General features: G+C 44.4%; 1 long non-coding RNA gene across 2 annotated transcripts in view, besides 1 other annotated feature; it reads left to right on the top strand.

Annotated features, from left to right (window-relative positions):
* F11-AS1 (F11 antisense RNA 1) overlaps nucleotides 1-16,733 on the top strand; it is a 214,961-nt gene that overhangs the window by 62,233 nt on the left and 135,995 nt on the right. Inside the window, exons 2-6 of one of the 2 annotated variants that reach the window (NR_033901.2) lie at nucleotides 6,588-6,681; nucleotides 7,058-7,208; nucleotides 11,728-12,589; nucleotides 14,590-14,736; nucleotides 14,994-15,097. The exons of the other annotated variant lie outside the window; for it this stretch is intronic. This is a non-coding gene — a long non-coding RNA (F11 antisense RNA 1). The remainder of the gene's footprint in view (nucleotides 1-6,587; nucleotides 6,682-7,057; nucleotides 7,209-11,727; nucleotides 12,590-14,589; nucleotides 14,737-14,993; nucleotides 15,098-16,733) is intronic. 2 annotated transcript variants of the gene reach the window in all.
* Nucleotides 10,453-10,992: an enhancer, noted in NCBI's record as "H3K27ac-H3K4me1 hESC enhancer chr4:187348988-187349527 (GRCh37/hg19 assembly coordinates)". NCBI's record gives its function as "activates a minimal SCP1, AML or CMV promoter by ChIP-STARR-seq in naive H9 embryonic stem cells {active_cell/tissue: H9 hESC(naive)}" and the evidence as "EXISTENCE:reporter gene assay evidence [ECO:0000049][PMID:30033119]".

The raw sequence follows: 16,733 nt of genomic DNA, 5'->3' as shown, positions 1-16,733 counted from the left end.
GGCTCATATGATAGCTCAACTTTTAGTTTTTTGAGGAACCTCCAAACTGTTCTGCATAGTGATTGTATTAATTTACTTTCCCACCAACAGTGTACAAGGGTTCCCTTTTCTCCACAACCTTATCAGCATTTATTATTACCTGTCTTTCGGATATAAGCCATTTTAACTGGGATTTGATGACATCTCATTGTAGTTTTGATTTGCTCTTCTCTAATGATCAATGATGTTGAGCACCTTTTCATATGCTTGTTTGCCACTTGTATGTCTTCTTTTCAGAAATGTCTATTCAAATCTTTTGCCCAGTTTTTGATTGGATTATTAGATTTTTTTCCTGTAGAGTTTTTTGAGCTCTTTATATATTCTGGTCATTAATCACTTGTCAGAGGGGTTGTTTGCTAATATTTTCTCCCATTCTGTGGATCGTCTCTTTACTTTGTTGATTATATCCTTTGCTGTGCAGAAGTCTTTTAACTTCATGTGATTCCATTTGTCCATTTTTGCTTTGGTTGACTGTGTTTGTGGGGTATTACCCAAGAAGTCTTTGCTCAGACCTGGAGATTCAATGTCCTGGAGATTTTCCCCCAGTGTTTCTTGTAATAGTTTCATAGTTTGAGGTCTTATATTTAATTATTTAATTTCTTTTTATTTGATTTTTGTGTTTGGTGAGAGATATGGGTCTAGTTTCATTCTTTCACATATTGACATCCAGTTTTCCTGGCACCATTTATTGAAGAGACTGTCTTTTCCCCAGTGTATGTTCTTGGCACCTTTGTAAAAAATGAGTTCACTGTAGGTGTGTGGATTTGTTTCTGGGTTCTCTCTTCTGTTCCATTGGTCTATGTGTCCATTTTTATGTCAGTACCATGCTGTTTTGGTTACTATAGCTCTGTAGTATAATTTGAAGTGAGGTAATGTGATTTTCTCTAGTTTTGTTCTTTTTGCTTAGGATAGCTTTGGCTATTCTAGACCTTTTGTGTTTCCATATAAATTTTAGGATTGTTTTTTCTATTTCTGTGAAGAACATCACTGGTATTTTGATAGGGATTGCATTGAATCTGTAGATTCCTTTGGATAGTATGAACATTTTTAACAATTTTAATTCTTCCAATCCATGTACATGGAATATTTTTCTATTTTTTGGTGTCCTCTTCAATTTCCTTCATCAGTGTTTTACTGTTTTCATTACAGAGATCTTTCGCTTCTTTGGTTAATTCCTAAGTATTTAATTGTATGTGTGGCTATTGTAAATGGGATCACTTTCTACATTTCTTTTTCACATTATTCACTGTTGGCATATAGAAATGCTACTGATTTTTATATGTTGATTTTGTATCCTGCAACTTTACTGAATTTATCAGTTCTAATAGTCTTGTGGGTCTTTAGGTTTTTCTAAATATAAAATTACAGTATCAGCAAACAAGGATAATTTGACTTCTTCCTTTCCAATTTGGATGTCCTTTACATCTTCCTCTACTCTGATTGCGCTAGCTAGGACTTCTAGTACTATGTTGAATAACAGTGGTGAAAGTGGTCATCCTTGTCATGTTCCAGATCTTAGAGGAAAGGCTTTCAGTTTTTCCCCATTCAGTATGATACTAATGTGGGTCTGTTGTATATGGCCTTTATTATGTTGAGTTATGTTCCTTCTATACTCAGTTCTTTGAGGGTTTTTATCTTGTTGTGATGTTGAATTTTATCAAACGTTTTTTCAGCATCAATTGAAATGATCATATGGTTTTTATCCTTCATTCTGTTGAAACAAACTATTTCTTACAATTTGAATTAAAAAAGCTTTGCTGCCTTCTTAGCTTGGCCTTTTGTCCATTCATACTTTCTTTCCCCTCCTTTGTCTAGAATGCCAGGTATGAATACAGTCCAAAAAATCTCCAGGAATCACAGCTGGGAAGATTGCTGTGTATCTACTATTCATTAAAGTTTCTGTGTTTAATATATTGGACCCAGCCCACTGTGTTAACATTTCAAAATGCTTTATTTCTTTTCTACAAAAAGGGCACAAAGTAATTTCTAAACTTTATTTTTATGACCAAGTCGAACTAGAAAATGTTTAAAATGATACTGAAACTAGGTAGGAACACTTGCAGTTGTGCCGTGTGTGCAGTTCATTGGGAAGTATGATGATTATGGGTGGGTAATGCCATGTGTTCACATCGTTAGGAAGTATGGTGGTTATGGGTGGGTAATGCCATGTGTTCACATCGTTAAGAAGTACGGTGGTTATGGGTGGGTAATGCCATGTGTGCACGGCGTTAGGAAGTATGATGGTTATGGGTGGCTAATGTCGTGTGTGGGGCATTAGGAAGTATGATGGTTATGGGTGGGTAATGTCATGTGTGGGGCGTTAGGAAGTATGATGGTTATGGGTGGGTAATGTCGTGTGTGGGGCGTTAGGAAGTATGATGGTTATGGGTGGGTAATGTCGTGTGTGGGGTGTTAGGAAGTATGATGGTTATGGGTGGGTAATGTCGTGTGTGCGGTGTTAGGAAGTATGATGGTTATGGGTGGGTAATGTCGTGTGTGGGGCGTTAGGAAGTATGATGGTTATGAGTGGGTAATGTCGTGTGTGGGGCGTTAGGAAGTATGATGGTTATGAGTGGGCAATGTCGTGTGTGGGGCGTTAAGAAGTATGATGGTTAAGGGTGGGTAATGCCGTGTGTGGGGCGTTAGGAAGTATGATACTTATGGGTGGGTAATGCCCTGTGTGCAGTGTTAGGAAGTATGATGGTTACGGGTGGGTAATGCCGTGTGTGCGGCGTTAGGAAGTATGATGGTTATGAGTGGGTAATGCCGTGTGTGCGGCGTTAGGAAGTATGATGGTTATGAGTGGGTAATGCCGTGTGTGGGGCGTTAGGAAGTATGATGGTTACGAGTGGGTAATGCCGTGTGTGGGGCGTTAGGAAGTATGATGGTTATGGGTGGGTAATGCCGTGTGTGCGGCGTTAGGAAGTATGATGGTTACGGGTGGGTAATGTCGTGTGTGGGGCGTTAGGAAGTATGATGGTTATGAGTGGGTAATGCCGTGTGTGGGGCGTTAGGAAGTATGATGGTTATGGGTGGGTAATGTCGTGTGTGGGGCGTTAGGAAGTATGATGGTTATGAGTGGGTAATGTCGTGTGTGGGGCGTTAGGAAGTATGATGGTTACGAGTGGGTAATGTCGTGTTTGGTGCATTAGGAAGTATGATGGTTATGGGTGGGTAATGCCGTGTGTGCGGCCTTAGGAAGTATGATGGTTACGAGTGGGTAATGTCGTGTGTGGGGCGTTAGGAAGTATGATGGTTATGAGTGGGTAATGTTGTGTGTGGGGCGTTAGGAAGTATGATGGTTATGGGTGGGTAATGTCGTGTTTGGTGCGTTAGGAAGTATGATGGTTATGGGTGGGTAATGCCGTGTGTGCGGCGTTAGGAAGTATGATGGTTACGAGTGGGTAATGTCGTGTGTGCGGTGTTAGGAAGTATGATGGTTACGGGTGGGTAATGCCGTGTGTGCGGCGTTAGGAAGTATGATGGTTACGGGTGGGTAATGTCGTGTGTGCGGCGTTAGGAAGTATGATGGTTATGGGTGGGTAATGTCGTGTGTGGGGCGTTAGGAAGTATGATGGTTATGGGTGGGTAATGCCGTGTGTGCGGCGTTAGGAAGTATGATGGTTATGGGTGGGTAATGTCATGTGTGGGGTGTTAGGAAGTATGATGGTTACGAGTGGGTAATGTCGTGTGTGGGGCGTTAGGAAGTATGATGGTTATGAGTGGGTAATGTTGTGTGTGGGGCATTAGGAAGTATGATGGTTACGGGTGGGTAATGTTGTGTGTGGGGCGTTAGGAAGTATGATGGTTATGGGTGGGTAATGCCGTGTGTGCGGCGTTAGGAAGTATGATGGCTACGGGTGGGTAATGTTGTGTGTGGGGCGTTAGGAAGTATGATGGTTATGGGTGGGTAATGTCGTGTGTGGGGCCTTAGGAAGTATGATGGTTACGAGTGGTTAATGTCGTGTGTGGGGCGTTAGGAAGTATGATGGTTACGAGTGGGTAATGTCGTGTGTGGGGCGTTAGGAAGTATGATGGTTATGGGTGGGTAATGTCGTGTGTGGGGCGTTAGGAAGTATGATGGTTATGGGTGGGTAATGTCGTGTGTGCGGCGTTAGGAAGTATGATGGTTATGGGTGGGTAATGTCGTGTGTGGGGCGTTAGGAAGTATGCATGGTTATGGGTGGGTAATGTGTGTGCGGCGTTAGGACAGTATGATGGGTTATGAGCTGGGTAATGCCGTGTGTGCGGCGTTAGGAAGTATGATGGTTACGGGTGGGTAATGTTGTGTGTGGGGCGTTAGGAAGTATGATGGTTATGGGTGGGTAATGTCGTGTGTGCGGCGTTAGGAAGTATGATGGCTACGGGTGGGTAATGTTGTGTGTGGGGCGTTAGGAAGTATGATGGTTATGGGTGGGTAATGTCGTGTGTGGGGCCTTAGGAAGTATGATGGTTACGAGTGGTTAATGTCGTGTGTGGGGCGTTAGGAAGTATGATGGTTACGAGTGGGTAATGTCGTGTGTGGGGCGTTAGGAAGTATGATGGTTATGGGTGGGTAATGTCGTGTGTGGGGCGTTAGGAAGTATGATGGTTATGGGTGGGTAATGTCGTGTGTGCGGCGTTAGGAAGTATGATGGTTATGGGTGGGTAATGTCGTGTGTGGGGCGTTAGGAAGTATGATGGTTATGGGTGGGTAATGTGTGTGCGGCGTTAGGAAGTATGATGGTTATGGGTGGGTAATGCCGTGTGTGCGGCGTTAGGAAGTATGATGGTTACGGGTGGGTAATGTTGTGTGTGGGGCGTTAGGAAGTATGATGGTTATGGGTGGGTAATGTCGTGTGTGGGGCCTTAGGAAGTATGATGGTTACGAGTGGGTAATGTCGTGTGTGGGGCGTTAGGAAGTATGATGGTTACGAGTGGGTAATGTCGTGTGTGGGGCGTTAGGAAGTATGATGGTTATGGGTGGGTAATGTCGTGTGTGGGGCGTTAGGAAGTATGATGGTTATGGGTGGGTAATGTCGTGTGTGCGGCGTTAGGAAGTATGATGGTTATGGGTGGGTAATGTCGTGTGTGGGGCGTTAGGAAGTATGATGGTTATGGGTGGGTAATGTCATGTGTGGGGCGTTAGGAAGTATGATGGTTACGAGTGGGTAATGTCGTGTGTGTGGTGTTAGGAAGTATGATGGTTACGGGTGGGTAATGCCGTGTGTGCGGCGTTAGGAAGTATGATGGTTATGGGTGGGTAATGTCGTGTGTGGGGCGTTAGGAAGTATGATGGTTATGGGTGGGTAATGCCGTGTGTGGGGCGTTAGGAAGTATGATGGTTATGGGTGGGTAATGCCGTGTGTGGGGCGTTAGGAAGTATGATGGTTATGGGTGGGTAATGTCGTGTGTGGGGTGTTAGGAAGTATGATGGTTACGGGTGGGTAATGCCGTGTGTGCGGCGTTAGGAAGTATGATGGTTATGAGTGGGTAATGCCGTGTGTGGGGCGTTAGGAAGTATGATGGTTATGAGTGGGTAATGCCGTGTGTGGGGCGTTAGGAAGTATGATGGTTATGGGTGGGTAATGTCGTGTGTGGGGCGTTAGGAAGTATGATGGTTACGAGTGGGTAATGTCGTGTGTGCGGTGTTAGGAAGTATGATGGTTACGGGTGGGTAATGCCGTGTGTGCGGCGTTAGGAAGTATGATGGTTATGAGTGGGTAATGCCGTGTGTGGGGCGTTAGGAAGTATGATGGTTATGAGTGGGTAATGCCGTGTGTGGGGCGTTAGGAAGTATGATGGTTATGGGTGGGTAATGTTGTGTGTGGGGCGTTAGGAAGTATGATGGTTATGGGTGGGTAATGTCGTGTGTGTGGTGTTAGGAAGTATGATGGTTACGAGTGGGTAATGTCGTGTGTGGGGCGTTAGGAAGTATGATGGTTATGGGTGGGTAATGTCGTGTGTGGGGCGTTAGGAAGTATGATGGTTATGGGTGGGTAATGTCGTGTGTGCGGCGTTAGGAAGTATGATGGTTATGGGTGGGTAATGTCGTGTGTGGGGCGTTAGGAAGTATGATGGTTATGGGTGGGTAATGTCGTGTGTGCGGTGTTAGGAAGTATGATGGTTACGAGTGGGTAATGTCGTGTGTGGGGCGTTAGGAAGTATGATGGTTATGGGTGGGAAGTATGATGGTTACGAGTGGGTAATGTCGTGTGTGGGGCGTTAGGAAGTATGATGGTTATGGGTGGGTAATGTCGTGTGTGCGGTGTTAGGAAGTATGATGGTTACGAGTGGGTAATGTCGTGTGTGGGGCGTTAGGAAGTATGATGGTTATGGGTGGGTAATGTCGTGTGTGGGGCGTTAGGAAGTATGATGGTTATGGGTGGGTAATGTCGTGTGTGCGGTGTTAGGAAGTATGATGGTTATGGGTGGGTAATGTCGTGTGTGCCGTGTTAGGAAGTATGATGGTTACGGGTGGGTAATGCCGTGTGTGCACAGCGTTGGGAAGTATGATAGTTATGCGTGGGTCATTACTGACAGTTGAGCTTGACATGTCCTGTCTCCAGAAGTGGGTGCCGAGGCTCCCTTCCCACTGCCATTCCACTGGCCCAGAGGAAGCTTCTGTTGTGTTCAGATGGGCAGGCACTCTTCCTCGAGAAGGTTTGTCCCCCTTCGCTATCTCAGCCCCCAGGGAATGTCCTGTGAACGCTCCCCCACTTATTCAAGCCACATACATTCTCTAAGACCACGTATGAGTGCCGCTGTCCCCATCGGGACCTTATGAAATACACACATCCAGATGAACTCTCCTCTTCCCTGAACTAACCAGCTTATTTGCTGTTGATACAGTACTGTCTTGTGATGTCTTAAATAGTACCCCCACCGCTAGACTTCAAATATTTGAACACAGACCATTTGACACCTACTGAATAACTGCTGAATCCATGCATGAGTTTTTGATCTATTTATTAGAAATTGATAATGTCATTTGAACAATCATGCCAATGCTAATGATACTTAATATTAATTTTCTAAGTTAAGTAGCCGGAATATCTAAATGCCTCTCCTTGGCGATTACTCGATGAGCGCCTGTCCTTCCTCCACTCTTCCAGCAGACCTGCCTTTTGGGGCTGATGGAAATATGCATATTAGATTATCTGCAGAAACTGGCTCAGCACTACAAGGAGGTAAGAACATTCAGAACCAATAAATGTTAAAATACGAATGGGTACTAGAGTTTCTTACTCCAATTCCTCATTTCAAGATTAGAAAACAAGAGCCCTGGGAGGCAGGCAGTTTTCCTGTAGTAACCCGGATGTCAAGGGCTGGCGTGGGCTTCTCCAAGTCCAGTGCTCGTTTGTAGAACAGTTTCTGGACTAATTTGAGTAATTGATGCAGAGCCTATTTTGATTCTCTCTAGCCAGCGTGCATACGTGTTCCTCACTAAGCACATTTTTACAGTAGATATTTTTTAAATATCAAGGCAGGTGGATAACCTGTGGACAGGAGTTCAAGCCTTGCCAACATGGTGAAACCCCATCTCTACTAAAAATACAATAATTAAGTAAATAAATTAGCTGGGCATGGTGGCACCTGTAATCCCAGCTACTCAGGAGGCTGAGGCAGGAGAATCACTTGAACCTGGGAGGTGGAGGTTGCGGTGAGCAGAGATTGTGTCACTGCACTCCATCCTGGGTGACAAGAGCAAAACTCCATCTAAAAAAAAAAAAAAAAAAGCCGTGCGTGGTGGCTCACACCTGTAATCCCAGCACTTTGGGAGGCCGAGATGGGTGGATCACCTGAGGTCAGGTGTTCGAGACCAGCCTGACCAACATGGAGAAACCGCATCTCCATTGAAAAAAAAAAAGATTCAAAATTAGCCGAGCATGGTGGCGCATGCCTGTAATCCCAGCTACTGGGGAGAGTGAGGCTAGAGAATCACTTGTACCCGGGAGGCGGAGGTTGCAGTGAGCTAAGATCGCGCCATTGCACTCCAGCCTGGGTAACAGGAGTGAAATTCCTTCTAAAAAAAAAAAAAAAAAAGAAAAGAAAAAGAAGAAGACAGTTGTTCCAAGCATTCAAGCATTGGGTGTCTGAGCAAAGGAGAGATGCAGCGCCTGCCGGAGCACACTTCCCTGGGTCAGCGCAGGAGCCTCTCCCTGTTCTTGCGGCTTCCACTCCACTTCGTCAGCCACGGCCTGATCCCGACTGGGCCTCTAATCTGGGGTCTATATTTTCACTGGCTTATTTTTTTTTTTCCAGTGACTCAGTCTGAGCAGCAAAATTCTAAATACTGTTGACTTAATTGATTATCCAAATAGGGAAAATGCAATAATGATAGAAATAATGTCATTACCTAGGTCATGCTAAGTGCAAAGTTATTACTGATCAAACGATCGGCCAAGAAAAAATAGACTGACTATAGAAACTCCATATGTTTTTAGATTGGCATTTGTTTCTTCTTTCCTCTGGAAGGAAAACAAAAACTAAGTATGGGTAAAAGGGCGGATCATGAGGTCAGGAGATCAAGACCATCCTGGCTAACACGGTGAAACCCCGTCTCTACTAAAATATAAAAAAATTAGCTGGGCATTGTGGTGGGCACCTGTAGTCCCAGCCACTCAGGAGGCTAAGGCAGGAGAATGGCATGAACCCAGGAGGCGGAGCTTGCAGTGAGCTGAGATCGTGTCACTGCACTCCAGCCTGGGCAACAGAGCGAGACTCCGCCTCAAAAAAAAAAAATCCCATAAAGAAAATAACACCTGATTTATCCACACAAAGTTGACATAATCAGGGTTACACTGCTTTTACAGTTGTGCCAGACTACTCTTTTTTTTTTTTTTTTTTTTTTTTTGAGATGGAGTCTCACTCTGTTGCCCAGGCTGCTAGAGTGCAATGTGCAATGGCTTGATCTCGACTCACTGCAATATTTGCCTCCCAGGTTCAAGCAATTCTCCTGCCTCAGCCTCCCAAGTAACTGGGATTACAGGCACACGCCGCCACACCCAGCTATTTTTTTTTTTTGTATTTTAATAGAGATGGGGTTTCACCGTTTTACCTAGGCTGGTATTGAACTCCTGAGCTCAGGCAATCCACACGCCTCGGCCTCCCAAAGTGCTAGGATTACAGGAGTGAGCCACCACTCCCAGCCAGTGCCAGACTACTCTTAGACATCAGCGACAGGGACAGCAGCTTTTCTGGGACGGCAGTGAACCGCAATGCCCTTATTCCTTCCACGTGCTCCTCGCAGCATCAAGGAAACGTGCCTGGGGCAGGGAGGAGTGTGGAGGATGCCTAGAGTCCTAGCTGGGAGCTGGCAGGGTACCTTACAGGGAAAACCAAGATACACAGCCTGCATTACACCAGGATCATCAGTCTGTGCTACTTTAATGCCTTGTTTTATCATCTTCAGGTGAGGGAAAACGAGATTTTTTTTTTTTTTTTTTGGAAATTTGAGATAATTTTCTCCATCTCTTCTTATGTGTGTTTATTTATTTATTTTATTTCCCAGAAAAAGACAGTCATTATTCTTGGCTCGCAGGATATAATAAAGATCAAGGTCTTTTATTGCCTTACCTTCGATTCTGGTGCACAAGTGTTCGCAGAACCAAGCTGGGTCTCGCTGCGTTTTCTTGGGGCCCAATAATAAGAAGCAGACAAACTAGGAAAGAAGGGAATTTATTGCTGTAACCGGATGCAGGGAGAAGGCCAGAGAGAATTCCACCAGACCAACTCAAAGTGTTACAATTTTCTTAGTGCTAATATAGGTTGAGGTTATGCGCCTGCGTGCAGTATAGCATTGCCTAAGTCTATTGGTAACGAATTTTGTTTCAACTAGAAGGTCAGAGGCAAAGAAATGCTTCCTAAGTTCGATTGAGCTGTGAGGCCCCAGTACCTTCAAGGCCCGTCTACTGTGGCACCGGAGTGATCATTTCTACTTCATCTCCTTTACAGCTTGGCCCAGAGAGCTACCTTAGACCCTCCAATGAATCTATTCAAACAGCTGCCTCTGTTACCTTGACTCGTCTCAGATTTTGTCGACCCGAGACGGGTCCTGGCACTAGGAATGTAAAACTGTCTATTATTTCAGCTTGCTCCAGGTTAGGGAGAAGGCCATGTAAGGCTCCTACTGACCGTCTTATGTTTCATTTCTAGCTTTGACGTCTGGGCACTGATTTCCCTAGGTTTAACTATTCGTTCCATGTGACGGCCGTGCTGTGGAAATCTATCTGTGTAACTGGAGCGCTCTGCAGGCCTGTCTGTGTGACCATCAGGAGGCCTGTCTGTGTGACCGTCATGCAGGCCTGTCTGTGCGACCGTCAGGAGGCCTGTCTGTGTGATCGTCAGGAGGCCTGTCTGTGTGATCGTCAGGAGGCCTGTCTGTGTGACCGTCATGCAGGCCTGTCTGTGTGACCATCAGGAGGCCTGTCTGTGTGACCGTCATGCAGGCCTGTCTGTGTGACCGTCAGGAGGCCTGTCTGTGTGACCGTCAGGAGGCCTGTCTGTTCGACCATCAGGAGGCCTGTCTGTGTGACCGTCAGGAGGCCTGTCTGTGTGACCGTCAGGAGGCCTGTCTGTTCGACCATCAGGAGGCCTGTCTGTGTGACCGTCATGCAGGCCTGTCTGTGCGACCGTCAGGAGGCCTGTCTGTGTGATCGTCAGGAGGCCTGTCTGTGTGATCGTCAGGAGGCCTGTCTGTGTGACCGTCAGGAGGCCTGTCTGTGTGACCGTCATGCAGGCCTGTCTGTGTGACCGTCATGCAGGCCTGTCTGTGTGACTGTCAGGAGGCCTGTCTGTTCGACCATCAGGAGGCCTGTCTGTGTGACCGTCATGCAGGCCTGTCTGTGTGACCATCAGGAGGCCTGTCTGTGTGACCGTCAGGAGGCCTGTCTGTGTGACCGTCATGCAGGCCTGTCTGTGTGACCGTCAGGAGGCCTGTCTGTGTGACCGTCATGCAGGCCTGTCTATGTGACCATCAGGAGGCCTGTCTGTGTGACCGTCAGGAGGCCTGTCTGTGTGATCGTCAGGAGGCCTGTCTGTGTGACCGTCATGCAGGCCTGTCTGTGTGATCGTCAGGGAGAATTGGCCTGCCGCGCAAGGGCTGGTGTGAGTTTACCTTTGAGAAAGAGCAGGAAATGTTGAGTCATTTCACACAACCTACAGAGATAGCACACTAGGCTGCGGCTGGGTATTTAGTCCCTGCAGGACAGTGAGCCTGGGATAGGCCTGGCCAGATCTAGGGGTCCTGGTACCACATTTGACCCACACAAACCCCATCTAGAGTGATCCCTGACATCATATAATTGGAGGGACATATTTTCCCCAACAAATGCCTGGCATCTCGCTAGAGACGCATGTGTTTGGATTATTTCCCACGCTTTTTCTTGCGGAGTGGCTGTGTGATTTGGATCTTGCAAATTGAGGGTCCGGGGTGTGCTGTCACCTCCGTAACTTAGCTCATGGAGAGATTCCTCGCCTGTCAACTTAGGATACCGAAGTCGAAAACTTCAGAGTTTCCTTCCAGCTCTGAAATGGGAAGATTTTATTTTTTTAAAAGAAAGTGTTCACCTCACTAAAAGGTTTTTCTAGGAAAAATAATGCTGAACTGGCTCTCTGGGAGGGTAGGGCAGAGGAGAGGAAATAAACCCCTCATTTGCAGTGTTTGCCGATTACCATGGTATAAATGCCCCCTCTGGTCAATTTCAGGCTGCCAACATGAAGACACTGGATGCGGAATCAGGAGGAGATGTATACAGCTCAGTCTCCAAAGCCAGGACAAGCCAGCTCCAACACACTACTGGCTGAATCTCACCAATCGTTATAGTTTTGTTTTTTGTTTTTTTAAATGTATTTAAGCATTTTTAGGTGTTTTAAATTTTATGTGTGTATTCTAGGAATATGTACTCAGATTCTTTCATTAGGCATGTGTTATTAACAACATTCATCTTCTTAAAGGCTGAACCAACTTTGCGCGTTTTATCAACAGATATTCACTGAGCACCTAATATTGCCAGGCTGTGCTCAAGGCAGTGGGATTCATCAGTGAACAATACAGACAAAAATCACTGACCTAAATGGAGCTTGAAGTTTATATCTAAATCATTCAAAGATTCTGTGGTGGAAAAGAAGTTAGAAATCTTTCAGCTGCAAAACATAAGCCAAAATACAACTCACCTTTGGAATCAGAGAACTTACAGGTTCATAAAATTGCGAAGCCCAGATGTGCACCTGAGGTGAGACTTCGTCCAGCTTCTGTCTGTGTCACTAATCTTTCCTGCTTTCAGCGGCATCCCTCGCAGGCCCGTGTTGTTCCCAACTGGTGTTCCCACCTGGCGGCAAACTGGTGACTGTAGTTACAGATCTTCAACATCACACTCAGGAGAAGAAGGAGATTGCTTTTCAGGAGCTCCTGCAAGCCGGAGAATAAAAGCTCTTATTTATTCAGAAGCCCTAAAACATACCACCTTGGCTATAGACTATTTGGACATTTCTAAGCAAATCTGTCTGCAAAGGTGCTGAGCTGTGTTGATCAACTGAAGCCCGTGACGTCTCATCCTTGCAGTTGGAGGTAGGTCTTCTGTCCACCCAAATCAGATGGATGAAATAGGGAAGGCTGTTCTCCTCAAGGAGAAGCTAGTTTGAAAAAAGCAATAAGCAGGCTAGGCACAGTGGCTCACGCCTATAATCCCAGCACTTTGTGGGGCCGAGGCAGGCAGATCACGAGGTCAGGAGGTCGAGACCGTCCTGGCTAACACAGTGAAACCCCGTCTCTACTAAAAAAATACAAAAAAATTAGCCAGGCTTGGTGGCAGGTGCCTATAGTCCCAGCCTCTCAGGAGGCTGAGGCAGGAGAATGGCGTGAACCCAGGAAGCAGAGCTTGCAGTGAGCCGAGATCAGGCCACTGCACTCCAGCCTGAGTGACAGAGTGAGACTGTGTCTCAAAAAAAAAAAAAAAAAAAAGAGAGAAAAAAGCAATAAACAGATGCTAGATGGTAAAAACAGCAAATGTCCATCACTGCCACCTTCAGCACACCTGAAATGGGAGTTATCACACCCCCCAAAATGAACAGAGATTTACTCTTTCTCCCTTTCTGGTCAATGACAACAAAGGCATGGCCTCTGGGTCTCAGAGGAGCTTATAATCTAATAGGCAATCTTGGACTGGCCAAAATAGTCAATACTTTAAAAAATACTAACTGGAGGTTAGCACATTTGGAATCCATTATAATTAACATGCTTTTCTTAATTAGTCCGAGGGAAAAATAGAGAACACATTGAGTAAGGATCAGAGGTTCTTCTTTTCACATTTAATTTTTTTTAACAATTCTTGGAAATTTCTTGGTGGCATTCAGGTTTTTTTTTCTGTGAATCAACAAGCTAAACTGAGAGTCAACTGTTGTGAAGGCAAGTCAGAATAAACCTGACAGTAAACACACTATATGGATGCTTGTGGTGGTTTCTGGAGAAATATGTAAAGGCTGAAATGTTTGATGTTTGAGAAAAAATCATTGTCTTTAAGGAAGGGCATGAAATATGAGAAATATATCAGTATGATCTGTTTTAAGTTAATAATGACTATGTAACTGGTTTCTAAGTTTTAAGGTTTTTTCTCCAAAAATATCTACACATAACTGATTTTACATCATATTTTTCACTTCTAAGTGAATATCTACAAAATACATGTAGGCTAAGTTTCATCATTAAAATGTATTAATTTCTCTGCTTCAGCTGATCATGAAAACATGAGATTGACAAAGATAGTCCTTGGCTTTGAGATGTAATTATCCTTAAGTTACCAAGTACAAATCTCGTTTGAATATGATTACCTGCTTCTTAATGTGATTAAGTTTCAGTCTGGTTCGTGACGTCACTAGTCTCATCTAGCATCTAGATGTACTTTTATATTTTTAATCTAAATCCCACCAGAGTCTAGCTGTAACTTAATACTGTTTCTCCTTGTTATATCCTCGAGGGAAATTTAGGATAGGAATTAACTGAGAGATTTCAGTTATGATTCCTGATGACATGCAGTCTTTTCTGTAAGGAAATTTCTACCCACTGTCCTTGCTGGGGTAGACGTAGGTTGCTTGGTTTGCGTCCCTTTGAGTCTTAGCCGCTGTGAACAGAGGCGTTGCATCTGCTGCTGCATCGCAAACTACCCTAAAACTTAGTGGCTTAAAACAACCATTGTATTAAATTTCATCATTCTGTGGGTCAGAGATTTGGGTAGTGCTCCTGTGGGTGATGCTGTTGCACGTGGCATTGACTCAGGATGGTGGATGGTATTCAGCTGATAGCTGATCTGGTCTGAAGGGTCCAAGATAGCTTCACTCCTGTAGCTGGCACCTTGGCGGGGGCATAGGAAGGCAAGACTCAGCTGGACTCCTCTCCTATCTGTGTTGTCCAAGAGCCTTTTCACAAGGTCTTTCTAGCAAAGTGGCAGCTCATGGTTCCAAGGGCAAGAGTGTGGTTCTACCAGAGACCCAGATAGAAGTTGCGAGGCTCCTTCTGACCTAACCTTGGAAGTTCTTCTTCTGAGTTACTTCTCTTGTATTCTATGCATCAAGCAAATCTCAAAGGCAAAGCCAGTGTTAAGGAGAGGGAAATCAGACTTCATCTTTCGATGGGAGAAGAAAAGAGTTTGCAACTGTCTCTATTCTGCCACTGGCAGAGAATCCATAGGTTTGCTAAGGATACAGAGCCACATTGAAAAGGTAAACTGTGAAAATCCCATTCATCTGTCAATAATCTGGGAGGGAGAAAATGATAAGAGGGGCCAGTGAGCCATGATAAAGTGGGGCACAGGTGACCATGTGAGGCCAGTACAAGTGGCTGTGGGGAAGAATCCACTCTGAGGAAAGGGAGAGAGCAGTCATAGGTGGGGAGCAGATAATCTTGCACGAGGGAGAGGGAGACAGAGGGGGTAGCTGCCTAATTCTCAAGGGCCTTTTGATCCTTTTTTATCTTTAAGATAAACCTTGCTATGCTGGAGATTACTTAGGTGGGCCAGGATTTCTTGAAACCAAAACTTTACTGAATCACCTCTTCACCATCTGTATGCCGTGCATTTGCTGAGTAAGTTTTGACTTTTAAAACAAAATACTAAATATTACTGCATCTTTTGCAATAATAAAATTTACTTTTACTTCTCAAAGTATTCCCAAGATGGAATAATAGTTCATGAACTCTACAACCATAACATGCTGAAAAATCACAGATTTAGTTCATTCTATGCCAAAATATATGGGTAAACATGGAAAAACTCAGCTGATGTGTAAGGATTTTTCTACTCAGTATCGAACATCTAGCTATTTGAGCACATGTTGGCTGATTGTCACCCGCTTCGTCCTTCCATGCTAAGAGTGGGTGGCAGGAGAACAAGCTGGACGGTCTAAGCCCACACTCACAGGAAATTGACCCATGACCTCGTGAGTCCAGTTGCACCTTGTTTCAATTGTATGATGGTTATAAAAAATGTTAGAAACTGGGGCAGGCACGGTGGCTCACGCCTGTAATCTCAACACTTTGGGAGGCCTAGGTGGGCAGATCACGAGATCAGGAGTTCAAGACCATCCTGGCCAACATGGTGAAACCCTGTCTCTACTAAAAATACAAAAATTAGCCGGACGTAGTGGTGGACACCTGTAGTCCCAGCTACTCAGGAGGCTGAGGCAGGAGAATCGCTTGAACCCGGGAGGCGGAGCTTGCAGTGAGCCGAGATTGCGCCACTGCACTCCAGCCTGGGCGACAGAACGAGACTGTGTCTTAAAAAAAAAAACAAAAACAAAAAAAAAACTTAAAAACTGATTCTTGAAGACATAAACTATAAAACATTAGCATTCCCTACATTTCATAATCAAACGTTCCACTTTCCTTTCTTTAAAAGCATAATGCCATTTAGATTTTTTAAAAAGCTAAAACTTTAGGGAACTATATGATCAATGGGAAAAATTTAAGTATTTTCTAAAAAGCACTGGATCTATTTCTAAAACAGATTTTAGTCTCCAACTAAAAATTCATGTACACATCAATATCATATCATTCAACAAATATGCTGTCACCCTGTAAAATTCTATAGAATAATTTGATTTTAAAGTCACCTGAGTGGTTAGACCTGAGTCTTTGAAATTGGATTTTTTTTTCCTTGTGAGAAGCACAGAAGTTTGTATCCCACATATAGCCAGGCTAGTGAAGAGGGAAAACAGTTATGGATCTTGTTAAAGCTGATATAAACATAAGCTGATCGTTCTGGCCAGAATCAAAGTTGGCTTACATAGTAGCAATAAAATAAACATAGCACGGCCCTAAACCTAACCTCTTCTATTGAGTGAGAAGTGATGATTTTCCCATGTTTTAAAATGAGAGAAACTTATAGGAGGGTCAATCACCATTGCTGAAAGTGTTTGTTCCTTTTTTGGAGTCTGATGTAGGCACAGAACAAGTGGCCAACTCTGGGTATTTTTAAGTAGTTGTTTGGGGAATTGCCTAAGGAAATTTTCAACACTGAATACCCCATTTTTGTTACAAGGAGAAATGAAGACATAGACCTGTATTTATATATTGTTGCTTCCTTTCACATCAGAAGGAACCATTGATTTTTCTCCAGCTCAATGCTGATGTCCAATTTCAAGCATTAAATTTGCTTATAATTTTGAAATTTTTCAATCTAAAAAAAGCATATAAAAAGTTAAGGAATACATTGTTCTGTGAG

This window comes from Homo sapiens, chromosome 4, assembly GCF_000001405.40.
Source record: "Homo sapiens chromosome 4, GRCh38.p14 Primary Assembly".
NCBI lineage: Eukaryota > Metazoa > Chordata > Mammalia > Primates > Hominidae > Homo > Homo sapiens.
The sequence above is the reverse complement of the archived record's forward strand: the minus strand, read 5'-3'. Positions and strand labels throughout refer to the sequence as shown.